Source organism: Homo sapiens, chromosome 10 (genome assembly GCF_000001405.40).
Source record: "Homo sapiens chromosome 10, GRCh38.p14 Primary Assembly".
Classification (NCBI taxonomy): domain Eukaryota; kingdom Metazoa; phylum Chordata; class Mammalia; order Primates; family Hominidae; genus Homo; species Homo sapiens.
Window position 1 is genome coordinate 11235023 of NC_000010.11, and position 25895 is coordinate 11260917.

Genomic DNA, 25895 nt, shown 5'->3' on the forward strand with positions numbered 1-25895 from the left:
TTTTAACGAGGTCAAGCAACTTGACTCACATACTTGGAATTGGCAGAGTCAGCATTCAAACTCAGACCTTACGCTTCTGTGATGTTCTTTCCACTAACAAAAAACAAACATAAAGACAAAAACAAAACAGACATAAAGACAAAAAAAACAAAGCAAACATAAAGAGGCAAGCTTCGCAAGTCCCCATTAAATGCTACATTTCCACAGTTGTTAGAAATTATGAAAGTAGAAGCTATGTCACCACAGGTCAAGTGCTGTCAATAAAGAGTTCTTGCTTTACTCCTTAACATAAAATCTCTCCCACATGCTTGTCTCACATATTCCTCATCTGTGTTTACCTTTGCCATTTCAATTTCAGTTACGTGCGGTATATCTGAAGGCCTAATCCTTGAATTTTCTCTTTAAAAGATTGAACTTGAAGATAAGCATATTTATAGAACAATTGAACCTTAGTCATAATTTCTCTAAGCTCTACCAACCAGTATTTTCCAAAGTTGGTGAACAATCTCACACATTAGAATAGAAGGTAGAAATCAAAATGAGTGAAATTAAACTCAAACTCATGAAGACTGAGCAACGCTGGAGGAGAGCTCTTTGTTTAGCAAAATACCAAGCAAAGTCAGTGCAACTATGGAAGACGAGATGAATAAATGTAGCTGCTGAAAACAATATCTGATGTCTTGCTCAGATGTTTAATGGATTTGCATTTTAAACATGGGTAATAAGAAATAGCCCTTAAGGCACTTTGTAAAACTTGCCATTTATTTTTAGGAGAGAAGTTTTTTTTGGGGGGTGGGGGGACAGCCTTGTTTGTTTAAAAGGAAAAAAACAGATATTTAATCATTTTTGCTTAAACGTGAGTAAGAATGGGGAATTACCCTAGTTATGTTTTCATTCACTCAGTACAACTCCCAAAGGCCATGGAGGTAAATGAATGGAAAAAGATTGCTGAGTGAGGTGTGGTATTTATGTGTCTGTCGTAAATGAAGTTGTCATTCCTAAACCAATGAAATCATACATTTTTTATGAGAGGTTGCAACTTGCAGAGAGGTGGAAATGTTAGACACTAATTAATAAACGTGGCTGGCAAAGCAACTCAGACAACTCAGGACTCATAAACTAAGCTATGGGAGGATCATTAGAATACGAAATTCAGTAGTGCTTTTCCATTGATTTCATGAAATGCCCGTATCCTGTCAGAAGGTTCAAGATAAAATACAATCGGCTTAAATTTTCCAAGTTAGTTTTGAACCAGAGATTTTAAAGATTTGCTTGTTAGAGGGGTATTCTTGTGGTGGCTTTAGATTGTCTTAAAGTTCAAAGGAAACTAGAGATTACTGGATAAGCATCAATAACATTAACAGAGCATTGAAGCTGCCTGGAGTGGATGGAGGATGCCTTGCGTTGTGCAGGAAACACTCATCAATTCTGTGGTTTGTTTAGAGGGTAGTGTTGTTTTAAGTCATCAAGTCACTGTTTAACTTGAATTGAAACTAGTAAATACTGCAGATGAATTACTGGATAGCTTTCCAAACCTTAAAAAAGAAAGTCTACAAAAGTGGAACTTCTTGGACCTTTTAATGAGTTATCTGAAAAGAAGAGAATGTGGTTTCATTCGTATGCAATATATAAGGTTGAACCATATGAAACGGTCACTATTAACCCATGTTTTTAAAAAACTACAAAAACGGCAATTTCACAGCAATTACCCAACCTAACTTGAAGTATAGCTGTTTCTGTATAATAAATGTAGAACAGTTAGATTGGCAAAGGAAATACGTGTGTACGTGCATGAGAAGGGTCATTGTGCCGTTGTGTGGATAAACACACAGCAGAAGTTCATGGAATAGGGGGTTGCCTGATTCCACTAGAAGAGAGAGTGATGGAATAATGCGAAATAGGCCTGAAAAGAGAGCTGAGGGTCAAAGCATGGAATTCCCTGAAATACATGCCAAGGAGCTGGATATTAATTTGGTAGATAAGTCAAAGTCTTTGAGTGGGGGAGAAAAATTTCTAGACTGAGTTTTAGACAGATTAAAAAGGCAATGGTGTAGAAGATGGAAGGCAATGACCAGAACTGGTGAGGAGGCTGTTTCGGGGATCCAGGTGAGCAGGAATGAAAACCTCACTAGGGCTGTAGCCGTGGAAATAGAAAAGTCTATGAGAAGGAAAAGAAATTAGGAGAGAGAGAGAGAGCTAAACTGAGGATTTCAAGGGGTAGAAAATTAAGCAAATTTAGAGCCACGCCAGAGTGTTAGGTGAGAGGTCTGAGAAGCTGGAAGAGCTGCCCCCATCCCGGGGTTGATGTCCCCATAAGCCGTGGTCTCTGTCCAGCTTCTCAAGTTCTCTGTGGGGTACCCAGATTCAGGTCATTTCCTATGGGGTGAGGCAGGAGTGTGGCTGGAAGAGTCTGAGTAGTAGGTCATCCTGGGAAGCAGTGTAAGAGATCAGGGTGGACAGAGTCGAGCCCTGCAAAGAGGCTCAGAAGATCCAGGTGAGGAGACTTGTTCCCAATTTGAGGCCAGCACATGTACCAGGTCGTCAAGGGGAGCCCAGGTGCAAGGGCTGCTTCAGCCCCACTAGCATCTCCACACTGGGTGAGGGTTACAAGGGAGGCTGGGGGTCAGCCACTCACTGGCTTTTGGGGCTTTGTTCATCCCAGTTCCCAAGATGTCGAGAACTGAGTCACAGTGAGCCCCACCTGACAACAGCTGGCACTGGGGAGGGCACCGAAGGCTGAGGGAGCACTGAGGCCCCAGGCAGCGTCACGGCCAGAGACAAATGTCACAAGGATGATTTGTTGTTAAACCACAACTCGTTTCTCTTAAAATATGAGAGAATACTGTTTGTCGGTATATGTTATTGAAAGTAATGGTAAAAACCACAATCACTTTCGTACAAACCTAATAGAATCTAGGATTGGAAATGTAAATGAGCCACCAGGTAATTAAACCACGCCTTTAGTCGCCTTTAATGGCCAGGTCAGGCATTATCATTTCAGTGTGTATTTTGCATTGCTCAGTTGGGCAGCTTGTCTGATTTAGCGCCTGGGTAAGATCTGGAGAACATCTGGAAGAATGAGTATTGGAGCGCCCATCATTGACTTCGGAAGACAGTTCCACAAGTCAGAAAGGAATCATGGCTGAGAGGATGTCAGTATACTTCCCACTTAGTGATAAGGGAAGATTATTACCTTTCTCTTAATTTGAGCTCATTAATCAGTAGTGATTGTGATCTTCCGAGTGTCGCACACAATTCTCGTGGTCTTTTGTTGTAATTGTAGCTGTCATAGTACAGCCTTAGCAGCACTATAATCCTATAAGGCTTTTCATACGTTGAATCTTTCCATTTATCTCCATTTTCAAAATTGTTTTATACCCTCTAGTTTCTTGCTATTAAAACATAGATCTAAGCAAAGGATTCCAGACAAACCTAGGTATAAACTTTTAAATAAAAACTAGTTTTGCTTTGTATTTATTTGGGAGCTCAACTGACTGGATTCATTGCTTCTTATATCACAAAGGTGCATTGACATAAAGGGAAGAACTAAAGTATTATCAAATAAATTTCCTGTTCACAATAACATTGCTAAACACAGTGACAGTACCTTCTACTGAGATGATAGCTAGTTGGGTGCCACATCTAATGGGAAGGTTAAAAAACGGCATCAGTTTATTCATCTTTATCACTAATATAGTAAAAATATTTCTAAGAAAAATTGAACTAAGAAAAGATTGCCATTTTTTTGAGTAGCAGTGCTTCTGAAAGCGGCACACTCACACTTTGATCATAGCTGTTATTTTTCATTCATGGTCCGTGCCTCCTATTTTAAGCCTATTCATTTTTCTTCTAATTTTAACATTAAATAAAGCAAAATGAAAGCTTGTGTTATTATTTAGTATGAAAACACAGAACCTAATCACAGCTAACGAGTGTGATAAATGCTAGGCTGTACCTTCTCTTGTTTGGTGTGTGTTTTATATACAGGAGGTAACATAGGCTGAGGAACTAGGATGCCAAGTTACAGATGGGGTTGTGGAATGCTGTCTGACAGCCGATTAGAGTAATCTGTCAGAAATGATGACTTAATCACCATAACAGACTCCAAATTCCCTCATAGAATTCCACCCAGAGTAATCTAGTTTTCCTGCAATATTTTATTTTATTTTATTTTTTGCCAGGACTAAATGGCTTTGTTGCTTGTTTTTTCCCCTTTGGTGTACGACGTGATTTTAATGGAAATGTAAATAGGTGGTATCTTTACAGCACAAAGGCTGATTTGGAGCCTGATAAGCCAAAATCAGATATATAATCCTGGGTTCTGCAGTTTTTCTCCATCACTAGATTATTAGCCTGTGGAGTTGAGCACTGCTGGCTGTATATATCCCAGGTGACCGAGAAAGGCCATTCTCTCCAATGTGTTCTCTTAGCTTTCAGATGGGACCTTGTCTCCTTCCCCTCAGGGAAGCTCCTATACTTTGCAAAATAATAATGAAGAGGATGATGATGACAACTGTAGCGGGCACTTACTGTGCCATCAGTGTTTTAAGTGTGTCACACACATCATGGCTATCAGGAAAAAGTTGTAATTTATTTCCACTGTAGTTTTTTTCCCCTGGTTGGGAGAAGGGGATATGAGATAAGGATCACTTCTGTTTCTTTGTTGTTACCAAACTCAAATCCACTTTTTTTTTTAAACTGGCTTAGATCACTTTTATAAAATTATGTCAGCAAATGGTGATTGAAAGTTTTCTGACAAGGCACAGTGGGTCGTGCCTGTAATCTCAGCACTTTGGGAGGCCTAGGCAGGTGGATCATCTTAGGAGTTTGAGACCAACCTGGCCAACATGGTGAAACCCCGTCTCTACAAAAATACAAAAAATTAGCCAGGCCTGGTGCAGGCGCCTGTAATCCCAGCTATTCGGGAGGCTAAGGCAGGAGAATCGCTTGAACCGAGAGGCAGAGGTTGCAGTGAGCTAACGTCATGCCATTGCATTACAGCCTGGGCAACAAGAGCAAAACTCCATCTCAAAAAAAGTTTTTTGTGTGCCTACTATGTTAATCGTGATATGTAAAAGAACAACTTGAAATAGCGCTGAGACTTGGAGGTTAGGTAAATGCCATATATTCTGCCTCCATCATGGAATTGGCATCTTCAGAGGGTAACAGTTTTTTCCCGAATTTCCAAAGCAGTGTTCAGATAAATAGACCTTGCATAATCCAGGCAGTTAACATAAAGCCACATAGTAGGGCCTTTTGACATGAATGATTGTTCACCCAACAATGAGTGGTCTTCACTTTGATTCGTTTTATAGATTCCAGTGTACTTTTTTGCACTATCAGTTTGTGAATACACCACAAAATGTAAGATCAATTAACGTCAGTGATTCACAACCATTGTTTCCTCTCACACTTCTCAGCGTCTATGTAGAACATTTCAGACAGCTGGCCCTGTGAAAGAAACCTCAGAGTCTAATCCACTGTGTGAGTTTTGAACCTCTGGATCCAAGCATAGATTTAGCTCTGTCCTTGTTAGTCGAATGGCAAATTAGCCGGGGCTACACTTCCCTGGCCTGACTCTAAAGCTATTTTTTTTTTCATTACATGTTTTTATTTCTTTCCTGCCCTTTTCATAAAACCCAAACAGTAATTTTTGTTCTTGGGCTAATTGTTAAAACATTGTATGTGTATATGCAAATACACAGGTATACTGCACACACATATAAAGTATGAGTTCCTCATTGGAAAGAAGCCTGTAGGTGGAGGCAATCTTTATGTGTAGCGTGGAAGAGGGAAATTATGGTAATGTTACAGATTCTTAGAAACCCCAAACTTATTTACACCACAACTGTGTGGATGCACATGACAGGCGGCGTGGGGTAGAGGCCTCAGGCTTGTGCTCCCACCGGACAGACCTGGATTCGAATCCCTGCTCTGCCACCTGCTTGCTGTCTGACTCGGCCAAGTTATTTAGCCTCTCTCTGCCTGGGTTCCTCATAGGTACCGATTTCTGGGGCTCTTGTCAAAATTCAGTTAATGACCATGCATAAAGAGCCTGTAGAGTGACGGCGAAGGGGAGGCTTCCTCTGTGTTGACAGCAGTTGTCTAAAGGCTCCATTCCACTTATCAGGAATAGTTATGACCTCCAGATATGGCTTTGTCCCAGTGATAAAAACTGCTTGTTATTTATTTTTTGAAACAGGGTCTTGCTCTGTTACCCAAGCTGGAGTGCAGGGGCACAGTTTGGGCTTACTGCAACCTCTTCCTCCCAGGTTCAAGCGATTCTCCTGCCTCAGTCTCCCAAGTAGCTGGGATTACAGGTGTGCGCCACCATGCCCAGCTAATTTTTGTATTTTTAGTAGAGACAGAGTTTCACCATGTTGGCTAGGCTGGTCTCAACCTCCTGACCTGAAGTGATCCACCCACCTTGGCCTCCCAAAGTGCTGGGATTACAGGTGTGAGTGACCGCGCTGGGCCAGCTGCTTGTTATTGATCTGACAGATTATTTTTGTCATCTGTATTCTTTTAGAGATGTCCTTCTATTAAAGATATCTTAGCAAGTTTACCGTAGTGTTAGTGTTTTGTTTTTATTTTTTTAATTTGAAGGTTCTTCTTTAGTGCTGATTGATGTTCCTAAGTCACCATCCCTAAAGCTATTTTTGATTATTCCCCATCTCTGCTATCAGGAGCATAATAGAACAGTGGCTGGAATTAGAGTCACTCATGAGGGAGACAGGCAAACCTGTGTGGGTTGGGGGTGTCTTCCTATGTAATAGAAGGTCTCGTGGTGGGGCATGCTGTCTTTCATTTGAGGGGATGATGGGCCTCCAGTTGGTGGCAAATCTTTTGAAACTTGTTTTTAGCATTCCCAAATTTTTTTAGAGAAAAATTCAGAAAGTACAGGTGCCTTTGGCGTTTCATAGTCAATATACAAGCGAGACACAAGTATTCTCCATGGATGATTTTTGTGTTGTCATGGAATGAAAGAAAAATACCAGTGGGTCTTTACTGGCCATAATATTTTCGTTTTCTCAGTTGGCACATAGCTCTTTCGTGAATTCACTTCTTTCCATCCCCTCTCTCTACTTTTAAATATTTTATGGGCAGTAAGCTCACAATATGTGCTAGCACGGCTGCTCTCTCCAGGGGTCAGGATGGGTTTAATAATGAGATGCGTAACAGTGACTCTGTAAAAACCCATTTCAGGTTAAAAATGGCATGTTTTATTGAATCTCATGTTAAAGGTGGTTAACTCATCAATTGGTGATGGCTGGGGTTCAACAAGTTCCAACATGAGTTCTCCTGTGTGTGAGGAGCCAGCTGTGCCCCCTGCCCGCAGCTGCTTCCTTCCCCCAGGACTCTGTCTCCAGACTAGGCCTGTGTTGGCTCGGAACCCTCCCTTCCTACAGCAGAGACCCACCGAGGCAGAGGGCTTCAGAGAGCCCCACGAGGTTGTGTCCATAGTGGCGACTCTGGAGAGTATAGCTGCTGGGTGCAGCTGCTCCGTGGCCAGCTTCACGGCGGCACCAGGTGGTGACAGCTGTTGGCAGAGCTGTGTGCAGCGCTCTGTGCATGCACTTACCCCTCAGACTTGAGAAATGGCTTTGCTCCAAAGTCGTACTCTCATTTTCATTTTCATGAGTCACAGCTGGGGCCTTGTGGGAAGAATCGAAGGTCAGCTTACTCAGGAGTGAGGGGCATCAGGTCCAGTCACAGGCCAGCCAGGGTGAGGACCAGGGTGGACCACTCAGCTCTGGGACCCTGTGTGTGTGTAGGGAGGGAGAAGAGGTGGGAGGACCATGGGCTGCTTATCCCCAGGAGGTGGGACGAAGGGGGAGGCCTGATGCTGGGAGGCTTGTGTGGTCCGCCACCAACAGATGGCTCCTACCAGGGCGACAGGGACGGAGGCGCCGGTGGCAACTGGTGCTGGGTCAGAACCAAACCACTGCGTGCTGTCGTGGGTGCAGAAGCTTAGCTTTGGGGTAGAAGGGACAGTGGGCCAGGGGCCTTCCCTCAAGAAGCTCCAGCTCACTGAAAGCCCAAGCAGACCCCTGAAGGACTATATCTCTGTGTGCCGAGATGCTCCCCTCCATGAGCTCCACCTTCATTGTGCATAGGACGCTGATTCTTAGTACACAGCAGCAACAGAGCTTCAGCAGATGCCTTCTTGGGACCGCGCTTGACTCTAGTTCCTTCTCCCCGGGAGGGAGAAAGGGAAGGAGCCTTTGAAATTTCCCCTTTCGCTATGTTTCACTGGTTTTTAAACAAATAGGGCTAAATAGAGACCAAGAAGTTAACCATGTACCTTAACGTGCGGCTTTAGGCAAAATGTTATTCAAAAAAAAAAAAAAAAAGCTTCTAAAAATTCATGTACCATCAAGGAAATCTTCACATGAATGGGTTTAGAAGCCTTTCTTGATAGCAATGTGAACTTGAAGAAATGTGTGACATCCCGTTTACTCCCATCAACAGGATCTATTTCCAAAACTCATGCTCCTGCCATTTCCCCACAAGCATGCTGCGGCCTTGCGTGAGAGGACCAGAGATCTCCTGTCGTCTTCCAGGCTTGCTGCAAGTGCAGCTGAGATGAACATAAGTAATAGACTCATTAATTGTTTCATCGTGACTCAGGAAAACCACTCTGTAAAGTCAGAGGCTGGTGTTTGTAAAATTCTTAGACTCGTCGAACAGCATAGACAGATCATGACAGCACAGACCACTGAAGATTTTTTTAGATACAGCCCATACTGTGTCTGAAAAATACTCACTCCTGAATTAAAACTTCCCATTCTGTGTGGCTGGAGATGCAGCCTCAGTTTAATTAGCACACGTCTCTTCAGAGACTCCTTGCAAAAATTCTGGAAGATCGTGTACTCCCTTGTCATAGACAGAGGAAGGAGGTGGCCCCTGGGAACTAGCCTCAGCCCTGACCCTAGCCACACAGTAGGTAGATTGAATTAGCGACCACCACATCACCTGGGCCCTCCCCCGTCTCCTGCTGTCTACTGGGACCTGCAGGCATGTGCAGGGCACAGCATGAGATCCTGCCTCCAGCCCCATCTAGCTCTGGCAGCAGGGAGGGCCAGGGTCCCTAGTCATGGGGAAGCAGTTGAGAAGCAACAGTTCTGACCCCACTCATTTCATCATTAGCTCTTGAGAAGGGTGCTCAGGGTGTGGCCACTGGCTGCCGCCTGTCCTGGCACCTAGGGAAGATTTCATTCAGGAGTGAGTAGATGGGCATTGTTTCTTTTTACTTGAAATTGTCCAGCCTATGAACATATCCCTCACTGTTAGTCTTGTGCTTTAGGTGTCTTGTTTTCGGTGAATGTTCTTTTTAACAACTTCCATTGGCCGGGCGTGGTGGCTCACGCCTATAATCCCAGCACTTTGGGAGGCCGAGGTGGGTGGATCCCAAGGTCAGGAGATCGAGACCATCGTGGCTAACATGGTGAAACCCTGTCTCTGCTAAAAATACAAAGAAAATTAGTTGGGCGTGGTGGCGGGCGCCTGTAGTCCCAGCTACTCAGGAGGCTGAGGCAGGAGAATGGCATGAACCCGGGAGGCAGAGCTTTCAGTGAGCCGAGATCATGCCACTGCACTCCATCCAGCCTAGGTGACAGAGCAAGACTCCGTCTCAAAAAAAAAAAAACAGCATAAAAACAACAACAACTTCCGTTGCTTCCTCTGTTGGTTAGGATATCGTATCATTGTTCTTGATCAACAGTAGGGCCTATTTTCTCTTATTCTGTGCCTCCAAATAAATTGTTCTTTTCCCTGAAATGTCCTTTCCACATCTTCCGGTTAACATGAGGATTGCTTTGAGAATGAATGCAGACATAGCTTCATCTGAGACGCCTTCCCCAGCGTGTCCTTCCTCCATCTGTGTCTGGTGTCTCTTCTCTGAGTTCGCACCGTACAGCTCTTACCACGTCTCTTATCACGCTGTGGGAAATGCTTGCTGTATCTGTCTCTCCTACCACACTGCAAGCTCCATCACAATGAGAACCCCTTCTCATCCTCCTCTTCCCAGCATCTAACATATAGTGTCTGGTAAAAACAGAAACACGTGAATAAACGAGCAGTCATACTGGGTCAAATCATTGAAACCATTTCTGTTACAGGGAAAGAATTCTTTTTCCATCCTTATACTTTAAAACTTTGAACTAGAATGTCTACTCTTTTATAATAACTTCTCAAGAAATCTCCCAAAGTTCTGGGAGTCGGAAGATTTTGAGGAAGTGAAACAGTATTATGACAATGACTCCTCCCACCCATTTTTTTGTCTTCCTTGACATTTACATCTTGTATGTGATCAGAAATCTGTAACTCAAATGAACTGTTCATGGTAATGAGCCATTATTAATACAGTCCTGATTGAACACCTTTCTCTAAGAAGGTCACAGTGCTTTGCATACATTATCTAGCTTGTCTTCAGAACATACCTGAAGTGGGGTGACCATCTATTCAGAATTCACCATGGTCTGACAATCCACGGCTCTGCGAAGTTGATTTTTCCCCTGCTGAGCCCAGGAAAGAGCAAAACAAAGTTCAGGTGTGCAGTGGCAGTAGCTGAGTTATCACCATCACTGCTGCTTCGCAGAGCCTTCTGAAGAGTCTTACGGCAGCACAAGCCAATTCTCTGAGCAGCTGCACGAATGCTAAGGGTGCAGTCTTGGTGTCATATGAGTCATACAGCTATAGAGATCAGGTCCTACAGGAGTTGGGGGGAAGGGAAGATTACTTTCCCCTAGGGATATTGCAGGTGCCTTTAGACGAGTGTGTGTCTGCCCTCTTCAGTGAGTGAAGCATGCCGTTCTTAACCGAAGGCTCATATGGCCAAGTCCCACATTGGACATTTTATGGAGAAGCAGTGTGGTTTAGGGGAGGCATCACCAGATTAAGAGTGGAGATATTAGAGTTGTGTGATCCCAGCTCTGTCGTTAATCACCTGTGTCTATGCAGTCACTTATTCCCTTCATACCTGTCAGCCGAGAGCACTGACTGCGTGATTTCCAGGGTCCTTTACAGCTTTAGAGTATAGGGGCTCTGTTTTTGCTGCTCCCGAATTTCCACCTGCCATCATCCACGCATTTCACAGATGCATCTGAATGCTCACAGTGCTCTATTTGTGCTCTTCTGTTTGTCCCTGTTTTTTATGTGGATGCGTATCGACCGCCATGATAGACTGCACACTCCCTGTGGGCAGGAGCCATGTTCATTTCATTTTTGTGTCCCAGGCATAATGTAGGTGCGCTCACCTCATCTCTCCCATATCTTGAACCTGTGAATCTCAGTGGACTCTTTTCAGCAGATGAACCTGTATAAGTCTTTCCTGTCTTGAAAGGACAGATGGGTGGCCCCCATCCTCCACTGAGCTTCCTGTTGAACTCCCTTTGCAGGTGACCTCAAAATAGAAGAAGCCCTCATTCACCCTATCTACTGTTACCCTCCTCCTTTCCCCTCTACTTCCCATGACCAGTTGTTCACTGCCCCTCCACAGAACCTACTTCTGATAAATCCCGTGAAGAATTTTTTATTGCCAGATCCAAATTCTTTGGCCTCTCACAGTGTTTGCTGTGGCCTGATTCTCCCTCATTCTGGAAACTCCTCTCCTCTCATGGCTCCCATGGGACCAGTTGCTCCTGCAGCTCCTCCTGCCCCTCACTCTGCTCTCCTTGGACTCCTCTTTCCTGGTATTCTCTGCAGTTCTGTCCTCGGCTCTCAGCTCTTTGCACCCTTCTTTCCCTCGCTGACAGCTTCGCGCATACCTGTGGCTTCACTGTCACGCTAAGGAACATTCTCTGTGGCCCTGGCCCGTCTCTCGAGCCTGAGCCCCATGATTACAACTTCTGTCTGTACCCCACAGTCACATCAACCTTAGCATGTCCAGACCTGCGCTCGTCAGCCGCCTCTGAAACTCTTTGCTCATGCTTTCCCCATTCGGGCAGTCATCCCACAGTCACCTGGTTGTACAGACCTGGAGTTCCCCTTCTCCACCATCCCCACAACCAGCCAGTCGCCATGAAGTTCAGCCTCCACCAGTGTTCCCTGGCCTGCGGCAGCAGCCTCTTAACTGTCCTCCCTGCCTGTGTCTCTCGTCTGTAATCCACCCTCCACACGGCAGCCAAAATGGCTTTTCTAGAATTTCGATCTTGTTTCCTTTGTTACTTCTTCTGTACCTGACCACATACTTTCAGACAAAATTTCAGTTCCTTAGCTTGCAAGACCCTCTGAGAGCTGGGTGTTGCCCACCTTCACCGCCCCTTCCCGTGGTCCTCCATGCTCACACTGGGAGCTCCCTGTGAGAGGGAACTGTCACCCTTCCACTTCCTGGGTCACTGCGGGGCTGCCCCGTGAGTTTCACATGCCGGCCCCCCTTCAGTGCTCGCACGTCCAAGGACTCGGCCCAGATGCAGCCTTGGCTTTCCTCGCCAGGCAGGATTAAGTCCCACACCCCTGGACCCCTGTGGGCTCTGTCCTGCCTCTCCCCACATGCTTGCCAGGGTGCTTACCGGCTGAGGGCTCAGTGTCTCTCCTGCCCCTGCCATCCCACCCCCTCCATCCTATGCCCGCCATCCCATGCCCGCCATCCCACCCCTGCCACACTGAGCACCTGAAGGGAGGACCTTCTTCACTGGCCTTTGTTCCCAGTTTTTGGCCTAGAGACTGACATAGGGTACCTGTTTGCTCCATACCTGCTGGACAACCAGACAGATGCATGCTGGGAGGATCGCTTGCTCAAAGACTCTGCCCATCTCCCCCAGGCATGTTGCTGGTCCTTCTCTCCATTTCTATAGGATAGAGGTCACATTCCTCAGCCCAACTCATGGCTTTCCACAGGTGACTTGTCCTGCTTTTGAAGAGGCAGCTCACTTAGCCTCTTTCTTCTCCCTCCTCCTCTGTTCTGAAGACCCAGGCCGGCATTAGGTGCACGTGATCCTGACTGCCTGATGATAATTTCCCATGATGAAAGTATCAGAGCCAAGTGCCATTTCCCTTTCATTGAAATTAGATAAAACCCAGAGCTGTGGCTTGCAAGTGATGGAAGTCCACTGGGGAAATGAAAGGTGCCGAGAGAATGGGACCCATTATAATGAAAGCATTTGCGCAGCCAGTGATTCCTTCCACCCCGTGGCTCCTGTGTTCCTCAGGGTGCAATGAAATGTGAAGCAGGAGGACCTTTGGAGGTGGTTTGAGGAATTGATTCTAATTGGTAATGGTGGCAGCATTGTGTGCTTGGAGCATGCTCTGCGGACCAGGCACCGGGTGTGATGGGCACTTTAGGAAGAGCCATGGGTCCCCCGGGTCCACTGTAGCTCAGGACCTCGGCCCCGCTGTGTCTAGTCCTTTCTACTCCTGTCATGTACTGGACATGATCAGAAGGTGTCTCCCTCCCTTCCACCCTCCTCCTCTCCATCCTTCCTTCCATCCTTCCTTCCATTCTTCAGTGGCTCTTTGTTCGTATTCTGTATTTGTATTAGCATTTAATAAAAATTATATACTGATACCAAAGTCAGTCAACTGCTAGACCTTCAAATTACTCATGAGGCCTAAGAAAAACCTATGTGACAAACATAGGATGGCCAGAAAAGTCTGCATGATTTAATTTTATAATAATTTTTATAATGATACAATAACAATAGCTAAGTTATTTTCAACGCATCTTAGCCTCTACTTATGAAGCACTTTACATGCATTTTCTCGTTTAATTCTGACAGCCTTACAATTCAGGTGTTACCTCCATCTCACAGATGAGGAGACCAAAGCTCAGAGAAGTTGAGACACTTGCTCGAGATTGCATGGCTGTAATAAATGGCAGGAGCAGAATTGCCTGTAACATAGAGGCAGAAATCATATCGAGTGGCAGAACCAGGTTTCACACTGAAGTCTGACTGCAGAGCCCAAGCTTTTAAATATGTTCTGTGTTACAGGGCCCCGTGACTTCAAAGGGTTTGATTCCCGAACAGAAAATACAGGCTTACTTTTTAACATAGTTAATAGTACCTGGAGAAGTCTTGTTGTCACTTATGTGCCCTTAAAACAGTATCAGTAATCGAATTGCTGCAGATTTCTGAGATGATTTTTACAGTTGTTCAATCTGCCTTTACTTTCTCCCTTTTGTGTTTTTAGATGCATCATCCCATTCAGATGAAACCTGCAGATAGTGAAAAGTCCAACGGTAGGTGGTAACCAACTGTCTTGCTTAATAATAATATCTGCTGCTTTAAATTACAAAGTCAGTTGGGGGCGGGAGAAGCCGGCCCAGCTGCTTTTCTCTCTAGAGGACAGAGAGCGCTGCTCCTGGAATCTTCTCTGTGGCCTGTGTGTCTGGAGTAATGCACTCGCCACTCTCCTCTCTCCTGTCCTGTTGATGATCTCTGGCGTAAAGATGTATGAGGCTGTTACAAGCAGTGGCTTTCTGTGTCCTTCTCTTTGGGACTTGCCCTGTATAGGGACCCTGTGGCATTTGGTTCCTGTCTCCTCCAACAAAGCAATACAGGGACATCTCATGGGGATCCAGAGGACGTCTGCAGGAAAGGAATTGCCCATGAAGAATTAGGCTTTCTGTGGGTGGGGGAGGGGCGTTGGTTTTTGTTTTTTTACCTTTTGCATGTGTTTCTTTTGGACTTGGAGACTACCTTATTGTACTCTTCTCTAAATTGCTCCAATGCATTTGCATCAGAATTCAGAGTTCAGTCTGCTGATTAAATAAGCGTACACTTGGTGCAAAAATCTGCATTTGATGAGGTCCATAAACAATTGGGTTTTGCCTATTCGAGACATGAGAGAGTTGATAGCCACATTTCCCTCTTTTAAGTTTTTGTTCCCTTTCAGCGAACCTTCTGTCCCTTTTTTGTACTTTTAATTTACTGAAATGTATGTTAAAAGAATCTTCTACCATCCTAGACTGGAGAGCTGCTCTGTCCCATAAGACTGACATAATCAGTACTGTTTCCTTCCAGCAGGCAGTTTTGCACCTCATTAATTAGTAATCAGGGCAGAAGCCATGCACTTAGAGATCTACGTATCTGCAAATGTAAATTATGATTGGGCTCTAAATCTCTCCACAAGGTATTTTTTGCTAATTGTAGTGCATTCCATTTTCTGGCTTCTCCACAGAATAGAAAGTTTTGAAGAAAATTCCAAGTCATAGCATGGTGCTGCCAGCACCCGACTTGTCAGAGCTTTCTTCTCTCAGCTTTCAGCAGAAGGCAGCGGCCCATACCTGTAGTTGAAGCTGCTCAGGAGGCCAAGGCAGGAGGATCCCTTGAGCCCAGGAGTTCAAGGCCAGCCTGGGCAACATAGATATATAAATAAAGAAAATAAAAAAATAGCTTTTCTCTCTCTAGGAGGAGACTTTGGTGCTTTAACCACTGTCTTCTCCTCAGCCCTGCACTTTACTTAGGGTTAATTCGTTTTTTTCTCTACTGCTTTATCACAAACATGACACTTAGCACCAGAAGTTGTCAAATCCGCTGCTGCTCTGTGGCCCTGTGAGTGAGCCACGCCACTCCTGTAGTCAGCAGTTGTTCATCAGTTACCGTGTGCCACGCATGTTGCTAGGAGCTGGGGCTGCAGCACTGAATAGAAAAAGGAAGAAGAAAAGACCCCAAGAGACTGTGTCTCTGACCTTGTAGAACTGACATTCAGTCTACTGATTTAAGTATCCAGAAGTCACTTAAACATTGAACTTGGATTTCTGCAGTTGTAAAATGGAATTGATGGTAACTGTCTCACCTAAGTTGCCTTCCCCTGAGCCCAAGACTCAAATAAGGTGTTTGTAACAGTCTCTGTAATGATAGAATGCCTCTATGAAATGTTGATTACTGTTTGCACCCAGAGGTGGTCTCCTGGCCTCTGCAGGCTCTCCATGGAGCGTGCTGGCCTGGGAAGAAGACCACTTCACCCAGGCGGGCTCCTTTCAGCCCTTGTGCTCCAGAGGTGCGTGCTTGCAGTCTGATGACTTCCTTGGTGGGAGACACGAGAGATGACTCTTGTATTTTGGGATGAATCCTGTTGGTACAAGTCATCTCAGAGTGTGTGGCCACCAAGAAATGTTCCCTGCCTTTGGCTCCATGATACTCTAAACTGTATTTAGAGTATTCAGGACAAGGACCATGAAGTGAAAGTCTATGGAAAAGGGTTTGTCTCACTTCTGAACCTTTGGTTGTAGATATAGAAACATGACAAATTAGCCAAATTGAAAACATTTGACCTGAAATATCCCAGTACTGAAACACAAAGGGATTTTTTTTTTTTTTTTTTTTTTTTTTTGCATTTTCTGCTGTGCAGGTATTCATTTGCCTCAGAGAACCCTTTCTACAGGCAGCTGCCAGGAGTTTGCAGAGTGTTTTGTTGTTCTTTCTGTCCAGTGTCCACTGTGGTCCCTGAGAATCACATTTGCTTTGGGTCTAGAATCACAGCACATAATAAAACTGTCATGGGCACACCCAATGTTGCATGATCACAGAAGCCAAGGAGGACCGGGCACCGTTATTTCTAGGATAAGACGGTTACCTGAAAATGCTGTTTTTCAAGCAGCAGCCTGGGGTAGCAGTTATGAACTATTTGGAGAAGCCTGGATTTGACCCGACTCCACGCTTGTTGGTTTTGTCCTTGGGCAAGTTATTTAACCTTACTCAGCATCAGTGTCTCTTCAGCTGTGAGAGGGGGCTACAGTGGTGTCATCTGAACACTTGTTGTAATGCCCGTCTTACAAGGTTATTTGAGGTTTACATAAGTTAACGTCTATAAAGAGCTCAGCATAATACCCGGCACGTAGCAAGTATCCAGTGTGCTAAGTTCTGCTAAGTTAACACTGTTATTCCACTCACCGAGGCAGCCTTTTCAGTGCACTCTGAGCAGCAGAGGCCGGCCTGTCCAGGCCTGGGCTGTTTATACCGAAGCATAGCTCTGTATGTACAAATCAAAACCCCCAAGTCTTCTAGTTGGGCCAGTGCTCCTTTTGCTTTGCGGATTGACCTTCATTTTCTGAATTTTCAGTAAGAAAAGTCCAAAAATATAAATGAGCGGAAGGCTGCTTTTAAATGGCTTTTCTTTCCAGAGGCCCAAATGGAACCTCACCTTGCACAGACATGAACAGCTTCGAGGTTCTCTTTGGACCTGATGGAGGAATCAGGAGGAATATGTAGTTTTCTAAAGCGAGTGATAAAAGCCACAAGCCTTTTCTAATTTCACATGGCATTTTTGACAGGTAAGCATAGTTTCAAAAGCTCAAAGAGCACAAAGATTTCTTTGGCTCAGTTGCTCTAAATAGCTCCTGTAGTTTTGAAAGAAGTATAACGAGCTCTAATTGCACTTTTATTGAGTTTGCTGACATTTATGGATAGCACAAAGGACTCATCACAGTTAGACAGTTACTGTCTTCATTATCACTGTGTTCAGATTTCTAAAACTTTGTATGTGCTGAGCCAGAAAGAGCTGCTAATCATGGATTAATTCATGATGGACAGGTGAACTCCAGAAAAGCAGTCACCCTTGGCAGCTTTCGTCCATCGAGCGATTCTGAGAGAGGGAACCTCTGGGGTGAGCCCCGAAACGTTAGGTTGCGCTCAGATCAGCCCTGCACTTTGGGATGTCACTGAGCAGACTTCCCGAGTCTCCATGGCTTCCTGTAACCTGCCCTTTCCATTGGCTCTGATTTAAGCTGCAGCCTCTGGCACACCGATGGAAGCTCGCGGCATCGTGTTTTCCATCCACGTGCTCCCACAGAGCCAGGTTGTCCAAAAGGAAAATAATCCCACTCTGGAGAAGCAAAAACTGCTGGGGCTGCTAAGAGGAGCACACTGAGTAAACCACCCACCTTCCAACAGAATCCGCCTTTTTTGTTATTTTTCCATTGCAGAAAGACAAATGGCGGGACAGGCAGGGCTTTTGAGGAGGTGTGGATTTCATCCTCCATCATAAACGAGCAGAAACATACTTAACCCTCTTTCATCCTCTATGCCATCCAGCTTTTAATCCTCTATTGCTGTGCCCAACGAGGTACCAGCTGTGCAGTACTGAAAGTCACAAGCAGTTGCTGAAGTTAGGCTGGCAGTGAGTGATACAAACAGAAGCTGCTTCGGTTCTGGGTCTGGTCTCAGAGGCTGGAGCTGTGCTCACTCTGATGTCTTTGCCTCTTGCCGCAAGGGAAGTTGCTTGTTGTTTTTACTCTATATACAGAGCGTAAATCCATCCATCCTGCTTTAACCCTCCAACCTCACAATTTGCTGGGGGTCTTTAACGCCTAGAACCCAGAAATGTCACTTAAGCCTGCTGTGTGTGTCTCTCTCAAGGCCTCCAAAACCTCCAGTGTCCAGGTGTCAAGTTCAGAGCTAGCAGCAGTCAAGATAACTAAATATCATCAGCAGAGGGTGCAGACCTGCAAAGCCTCCATTAAAAATAGGAATCATGGGGTGGCTCCATCCAGTCACTTTCTGATTCACGGGAAGATGAAGAAATAATTTTGAAATTCAAAGTGGAGAGACTTACAGATTTGGAGGCAGTAATTAAATGCCATATGTTAGCACTAACACATTGAAAAGTTGTTAATTAATTCAGGCAGCCCCAAATCCAGGTGTGACTTTGACAGATTGTACACGCGGGTGTTAGCGCAGACTTACAATTAGAGATTTTTTTTTTAAATGAAGTTTCTATTCCCCTAACTTAAAAAAGTCACCCCGTGTATTTAAAGTATTAACCCATTCTCATCATATCATGGAAGGTAGACTTCAAATGGCTGCTGGTGTGGAACCCCTTTTGATTCTGTGGTCGTCGTTACTAATCACGGGGGACCCCATCTGTGCAGCACTTCATGTGTAAAAGCATTTCCCTGCCCTTATTCAGTGTCCGTCATGGAAAATGACTTTTACCCTTCAAGTGTTTTTTTGTTTTGTTTTGTTTTGGTTTTGGTTTTTTAATTCCTTAAAGCACCTAGCAGAATACTGTGAACACAGTGCGTTTCATTTAAACTGACTTTCCTGTAGGTTGAAAAAATAAGTGAGATACTTAGTGCCCGTGAATACTCAGGAAAAACTCACCAAGACGGTCATCAAAAGTTGATAAAAAAGTTAAGTGAACTCAAAATAACTGTGTTCTTGTAGAATGTTTACAAAGCTGTTAGGGACCCTCAGAATGGGAATTTGGGGGATGAATTGTATGACTAACTTGTCACTGGAAAACCAAAAAAACTCAGAAGAAAGCCGGGTGTGTTCAGTATTCCCCATATTGCCTTTAAAGCAAACACAGCCCAACTGTTGAAACCACGGAGCAACTTTGGCTAGTAAGAGATTCCCAAAGCCCAGCACTTCTGTGCACACGCACAGGTGCGCTCACACGCCACACACACAGATGGAAGTTAACATTTTGATAACGTGGATGATGGAGGTTTCCATTTTTTTTCTTGGCTAATACTTGATATTTTTAAAAGTGCGAGTTATCTTTCTTCTTGTTGCCTGGCTGAGTTGACCTTGAGTGATGGCTAGGAAGTCAGCATTTCTTCATGAGTAGTTTCCATTTTCTTCATGTTCGTCTTAGGAAAAAAATCATTTTTAAGCTTACCCAGGAGCTGCATGGTTAATTTACTATGGCATCTCCCTGAAGCTCAAAACCTGCAAATTGTTTTAGCTAAATACCATAATTATAGGTTTAGCAGTGAAACCAAGGACTTGGTGGGAATTTTTCATTTGCTTTTGTTTAAAAGAACTAAAACCAGATTGTTCAGGGTAAGAAGAAACACAACAGGAATTTTATTTTTACTCTCATAAAAATGCCAGCCATAGTTTGCTGGGGGTAGGAGTCTCGGAGACGAGAGGGAAGGAGGAGTCCTGCTGATTTTTCTCCCTTTTCTACCCCCTTTCCATCCCATCTCTCCCCTTCCTGTCCCATCTCTCCCCTTCCTATTCCTTTTCTCCCCTTCCCGTTCACGGGAATGCCACTTTCTCACAGGGCCTCCCCCACCAGAATCCTCCCATGTTAGTGAGCACAGGCGGTGTAGACGGCCTGCAGCAGGTGGTGTGGACGGCCTGCAGGTACACTCGTTGCCCAGGGTATCTGGTGTCTCTCTGGCTTAGCTGTCGCGCCTGTGCTGCCCATGACTGACCAGGCTTCACCAGTTCACAGCGGATCCATGCTACTTTGCCTTCTCTGAAGGGAGGAAAAAGAACTTGAATTAGAAGTTTTCCGTCAGCGTACAGGAGGTCAGGTCCTCAGCAGTCTCCCTCCCAGGAATTGGAGCCCGGGGTGCCTGTTGCCCATGTCTCCTCCGAGTCTGAACACAAGCAGTGGCTCAGGCCAGCTGATGCTTTCCTCACTGAGCTCCTTCTCTGCACATGAAGCGGAAGATGGGGCGTGCCATCCTGAGGTCGGGCTGCTTTCCGCCATCCACCCAAGCCAGGTCCCTACTGCCCCGCACTGTGCACCTTGCCTGGTTAGGACCTCTTTGCTCTCCCACCTCCAGTCTCTCCAGACCCTTCGTCCAGCTTCAATTCCACATCCCCCAGCGAGCCTTTCTCAAACACCTGGGTGCACGATTCGTAGTTTACAAGTATTGTGGAATCGTGCCTTTCAACTTGTATTCCTTGGAGCCCTAGAGTTTCTGCGGTGTCCCAGGAGCTGTCACAGTGGGGAGAGAGCTGGGTGGAAGGGATTCTGACCCCCCACTCACCGTCCCTGCCTCAAGAGCCCCAGTCACCCCGAGTATGTCACAGGCCACCTTCTCTCCATTTCTAGGAGAGAAAAGAGTCTAAACTTTCATTCCATGGATGACAAAACAGAGGTCCTCAGAGGTCAGCCTATTCTCCAAAGACACATATCAAACTCATGGCAGCACCGGACCTAGAACCTTGGTCTTCTAATCACCGCCATTGCTCTCCCCTTCAAGCCTTCTCTCCTCCTCTGAACTTGGAGGAGACACAGCAGGGGAAGGAATCCTTGGCTGGGAGGAGGACTCCAGGCTGTGGGCCAGGCTGGATGACCCTAGGCAGGTCCCTCCCCCGCTGGACCTTGGGAAATCTTTTGGAGACAGACAGAAGCTCCCTTAGGTCTCTTCCTTCCACTCTGGGATGCTATGAAGAGGAGCCTTTAGCTGTCTCCTCTAGGCCCTTCAGGGCCGTGCTGGCTCATGGAGCAATCATGTGTGGCTCTTTAATTAAAATTACATTTTAGAAAAGCACTTCCTCAATCACACCAGTCCCTTTAAGTGCTCAGCAGCCACATGTGGCTTTAGTTTCTGTGTCAACAGCACTGTGGTAGAGGAACCCACCTGTTACCAGTACACCTGCCCCAGCCCCTTCTCAGCACAGAGGTGTGCTTTAGCGTCCAGAAGGAACTGGCCCCAGTAAGTCTGGGATAATTGCCTATTCGCTAAATGAAAATGAGACACTTCCTGTCCGGGGTAGGCATAAAAGAAACAGAAATAAAAGCCAATTAAATAGGAATGACAAGATGATAGTGCAGATTCAAAAGAAATAGGTATGCACAAGTGACTTAAAGCAGAGTCCTCCTCTAGCCCAGGACACTCTTCAGTCTGGCTGCAGCTGGCTAGCTTCTTTTTTTTTTTTTTTTAATTCTAAGAAATAGATTGAAATGAAACGATGGAAAAGAAGCAGGACTTCTCCCCGTGGGTGTCTGTGATGTCCTTAAAAAAAAAAAAAAAAAAGGCACCTCTCCTAAAAAGGACTCCAAACGCTGTCCTGAGATCAGTTTTAACCTCGTCTTTCGGGCCGAAAGTAGTTCACATTTCCCGAGCACAAGCATGGAGATTTTGAGGAAAATCTCCCGGGCCCTGTGAAGTACAACGTGTCTTATCTTCCCCAATGTCAGGTGCCCAGGTTAGAATTTGCGTGTCGTCCTCATGATCCCCAAATGCACTTTTATTCCCCGAGAATCTTGCCTCCCGGTGGCTAGTACAGTATTGTTTCCTTCTTGATCATTTGTGAAGGGCTGGAAGCTCGGGGCCATCCAGGGTGTTTCTCCAGCAGCAGCCGCCCTGTTCTCCTCTCTAGAATCGGCTTCCTGTTGAGCGGTAACTAACCTGGCTGCTTAGAACCAGGTGCGGGACCTGGTTAGCACTGCATCACCAGTGTCACGGGAAAGAGGTACTTTCCTAGCTCCCCAGAGACGTAAGAATCTCTCTGATCTCTTATTCTTGTCTAGATCAGCAGGGATGAAGCTATTTGAAACAGAAAAATGTTTTCTTCCCTCGAATACTCTGTGAAAAGTTTCATTCGCTGTTTCGCTCCATCTGCCCCCATCGTCTTTCCTCTCCTGACCTTTCTCTGTCCCTGTCATTCAGGTTAAAAGACCATCTACAAAAAAAAAAAAAAAAAAAACAGAATAAAATCTGTATCCAAAAATATCCCCAGAGAATGGTAGTGTTGAACAGTTATACAAGTACTTTGGAATTTTAGTCAGCGCATTACTGTTAGTTTCTGAATAGGAGAAAAGAACTTAACAGCATTACATGTCATATTAAAACATTTTATTAGTAAGCACAAGCACACGGGGAGATGGGTTCAGGAAGCACCAGGTGGGAGGGAGTGGCAGGGTGGGGCGCATGGAGGGAGGAGGACAGCTGGACGTCTGCAGAGTTGGCCTTGGGACACGTGCTTGGTCTCACATGGCTGGGGCCTGGTTTGATGGGGTAATGAAGCATTGATTACAAGAAAAAAAGATGAAATGGCCTTTGCTCATTCGTTATTTTTATCTCCTAGCTGTGGAAGACAGAAAATTGTTCATAGGAATGGTATCGAAGAAATGTAATGAGAACGACATCAGGGTGATGTTCTCTCCATTTGGCCAGATAGAAGAATGCCGGATCCTCCGGGGACCTGATGGGCTGAGTCGAGGTGAGTGTGCTGTCTGGAAAGCCTCTCCCCTTCAGTGCTAATTGGAGCTCTGTGTCACAGTCGAGACAGATGTAGGCACCGCACACGGCAAGAGGTCACCCTGTAATACATCCCATGTGATAAAGTTATCCAACCTGAACTTTTCACCATAGCTGAAATCATCACCTTTTATTTCTCCAGTTCAGAAGGCCTTGGTGCCACCATATTAGCTCAAGTTATCACTGTCAGGTGTGAAGCCAACAGGCTGCCCTACTGCTAGGCATCCTTTTCAATCTCATATTGAAATGGATTTGGTGGGGGGAGGTGCAAGAAGGAGAAGTAGAAAATGAGAAAGGATATTTGTTGTTTTCATCTTAGTCCTCGGGCTTCCTGCCTGTGCCTGAAAGAAATGTTAAGAGTATGTTAAGAGTACAGTGACACAAACTGGGAAAAAAGCGTCAATGTTCACATGTAGTGCAGAGCAGATAGGGATGTAGGGTAACTGGGCCTGTATTGGGGTATTAGAGTTTTATTTCAAAGAGCAAAACTCCTGGAGTCCTGAGCCAGGGGAACTCGTTAAGTGACAGAAAAGCGACTTTACCCTGAAGAAGATTGTAGGCACTTCTTTGCCACCATGATAGAAGCAGAAGCTGTAGCTCAGAGCCTTGACGATAAGCTGGTGTTTACAGAATAGTTGGAAATCACTGTTGTTTTCCCTGTTTGCCTCTCCCTTGACAATGCCACACACCTCCTTCCTGGAACCACTCATAAAGGCTGACGCTGGAGGTTGACACTCGTCTGACTGCACTTCCCTGAGTCAGTCCAAGGTGGAAATGTATATATAAAATGTGTTTTTCACTTCTTTTTGCTCTGTCGCCAGGCCAGAGTGCAGTGGCGCGATCTCAGCTCACTGCAGCCTCCACCTCCCAGGTTCAAGCAATTCCCCTGCCTCAGCCTCCCGAGGAGCTGGGACGACAGGTGCACGCTACCACGCCTGGCCAACTTTTGTATTTTAGTAGACATGGGGTTTCACCACGTTGGCCACGATGGTCTCCATCTCCTGACCTCGTGATCCACCCGCCTCAGCCTCCCAAAGTGCTGGGATTACAGGCGTGAGCCACCGCACCCAGCCTGTGTTTTTCACTTCTTACAGGAAATCCATATTCTTAGCAACATGGAGAGGTTTTCATTCTCTTATTACTGCAGTTACCAGTGCAATTTCTTTGGGGCAAATGAGGAACTTGGTTTCCTTCTCAATCTCTGGCTCTGGGCCAGCACTGGCACCCCAAACCACATGTTGAAAGAAAAGATTGGATCATGAGGATGAAAGCACTCGTCTTCACCCTTCTCACTAGTTTGACCTGACTTCAGCACCATGTGAGGAAGAACATTTGCTCTTTTGATTCTTAAACATAAAGCTTAAAGATGTCAGCTGCTAGAATGGAAGGCCGAGAGAACAAAAGTTCCCACCTACAACCACCTCCAGAGCCCCAGCATGAAGGTAGTCTACAGGAGAACTAGGAGGCGGTGGAACCACGCCAAGCTTTTGATTCCTGTGTTTTCTTCGGAAGGTGGTTTAAAAAAAAAAAAAAAAAGGCGGCATGGAAATCAGTTTATGCATTCTCTAACAATTCTGAAATTTTGTTATATAACACTCACTTAAAAGATGTAATTCTCTAAAAGCTGAACAAGTCACTGTATTGAGTGTGATCCTGGAATAGCAGATCCAGTATCCGGGGCTCCTCTGCGGTTTTTCACCTGTGCCATCGTCAGGGGCAAGCAAAGCCATCCATCGCTGTGGCAGACTGCACCACCTCTGGCTCCCAAACAGCCTCACCAGCCAAGGGATACTAGCATGCCTTCCTAGGGGCTCAAACCAGCAGACCTTCTAATCACACCTGGTGGTCCAATTCTTCATCATATATATGTCCACTTAAGCAGACAAGCCAGGAGGGAGAATACCATGGGAAAAGACAGTGTGGCTAAATTAAGAATAAAATATGTAGAAAGATGTGATCATATTTTTGTGATTCCTTTTCTGGTGCCAATTTAGTAGTTAGAATCCCTGTTATCTCCTGTTGTTATTCTCAGTCACACTTCAGTGTTACCGTAGTAATTTTCATTCTCCAAGGTATGGAGAAACGGCACAAGGAGAGCCCTTAAATTACTCATAGCGAAATCTATAATGGCTTAGGGGCCAGTGACCCCAAGTTCCAGACCCACAACTTCTACTGAAATGAAATAGAACTTTAGTCATTTTATTTTCTTACCTCTGTCCTGAGCTTTCCCCATTTGTAAATGACAGCCGTAACTATATCTGCCCTGCTTCTCTTGCAGGGAGTCATTCACGGCTGGTGTGCTAGCTTTTCGTCTGAGCATACCCTCTGCATGTGTTAGCGGAGAGACCCCGGGCGGGCAGTATGTGTGCTTGATTTCTGCTCCCCGTCTGCTGGCCTGGCTGATCTAGGCAGTGACTCTCTGGCACATTTTCTCTGTCTGTCCAGTGGGGACAGTAATGAACAGGATTGCCGCCTGCAGCGTTCAGAGCTCCTTGAGCATACATCAGTTATTTCTGCAGATCAGGTTTTAAAGCAGCCAGAACCTCCATGGGAAAGAGCAGGACACGCAGTACTTAACAAGAGAACTTAGCTAATTTGATCTGCCATTTGGTTGATTAACCAGCACTTGACACCAGAAGCAGCCTGTTCCTGCAACAAGTGATGGGGAGCAGTCTCATCAATATTTTATGCAAACGCTGGCTCAGTGGAAAGAGGAGAAAACTTTTCCCTCCCCATCTGTTTTTTTTTTTTTTAAACAGCAGAAAAGTAATTTCTGGTGAACTGATGAGAATTCCCTGTTGCAAAAAAAGAAAAATAAGAAAGAAAGAAAATACTCATTTATAACCATTTATCCTGAGAACTGAAGACAGACAGTGGTACTTTTTTCAATTCGCAGGACCCAGGGACTCCTGGCTACAGGGGCCTGCTCCTGAATCAGTGTATTTGTTAAAAGCACAATTCTCTTTCATGCTACCATTTTGCTTTCATTAAAGAATTGCAGTTTTGA

General features: G+C 45.3%; 1 protein-coding gene across 70 annotated transcripts in view, besides 5 other annotated features; it reads left to right on the top strand.

Annotated features, from left to right (window-relative positions):
- CELF2 (CUGBP Elav-like family member 2) overlaps positions 1-25895 on the top strand; it is an 874126-nt gene that overhangs the window by 772473 nt on the left and 75758 nt on the right. For 69 of the 70 annotated variants that reach the window (XM_047424494.1, NM_001326323.2, NM_001326320.2 and 66 more), the window contains 2 exon segments: positions 14131-14179; positions 22716-22850. In XM_047424494.1, the coding sequence (XP_047280450.1) occupies positions 14131-14179; positions 22716-22850 (184 nt within the window). 70 annotated transcript variants of the gene reach the window in all.
- Positions 1428-1497: an enhancer, noted in NCBI's record as "active region_3002". NCBI's record gives its function as "activates an Ori minimal core promoter by ATAC-STARR-seq in GM12878 lymphoblastoid cells {active_cell/tissue: GM12878}" and the evidence as "EXISTENCE:reporter gene assay evidence [ECO:0000049][PMID:35858748]".
- Positions 7698-7787: an enhancer, noted in NCBI's record as "active region_3003". NCBI's record gives its function as "activates an Ori minimal core promoter by ATAC-STARR-seq in GM12878 lymphoblastoid cells {active_cell/tissue: GM12878}" and the evidence as "EXISTENCE:reporter gene assay evidence [ECO:0000049][PMID:35858748]".
- Positions 9818-10027: an enhancer, noted in NCBI's record as "active region_3004". NCBI's record gives its function as "activates an Ori minimal core promoter by ATAC-STARR-seq in GM12878 lymphoblastoid cells {active_cell/tissue: GM12878}" and the evidence as "EXISTENCE:reporter gene assay evidence [ECO:0000049][PMID:35858748]".
- Positions 11814-12133: an enhancer, noted in NCBI's record as "active region_3005". NCBI's record gives its function as "activates an Ori minimal core promoter by ATAC-STARR-seq in GM12878 lymphoblastoid cells {active_cell/tissue: GM12878}" and the evidence as "EXISTENCE:reporter gene assay evidence [ECO:0000049][PMID:35858748]".
- Positions 12404-12513: an enhancer, noted in NCBI's record as "active region_3006". NCBI's record gives its function as "activates an Ori minimal core promoter by ATAC-STARR-seq in GM12878 lymphoblastoid cells {active_cell/tissue: GM12878}" and the evidence as "EXISTENCE:reporter gene assay evidence [ECO:0000049][PMID:35858748]".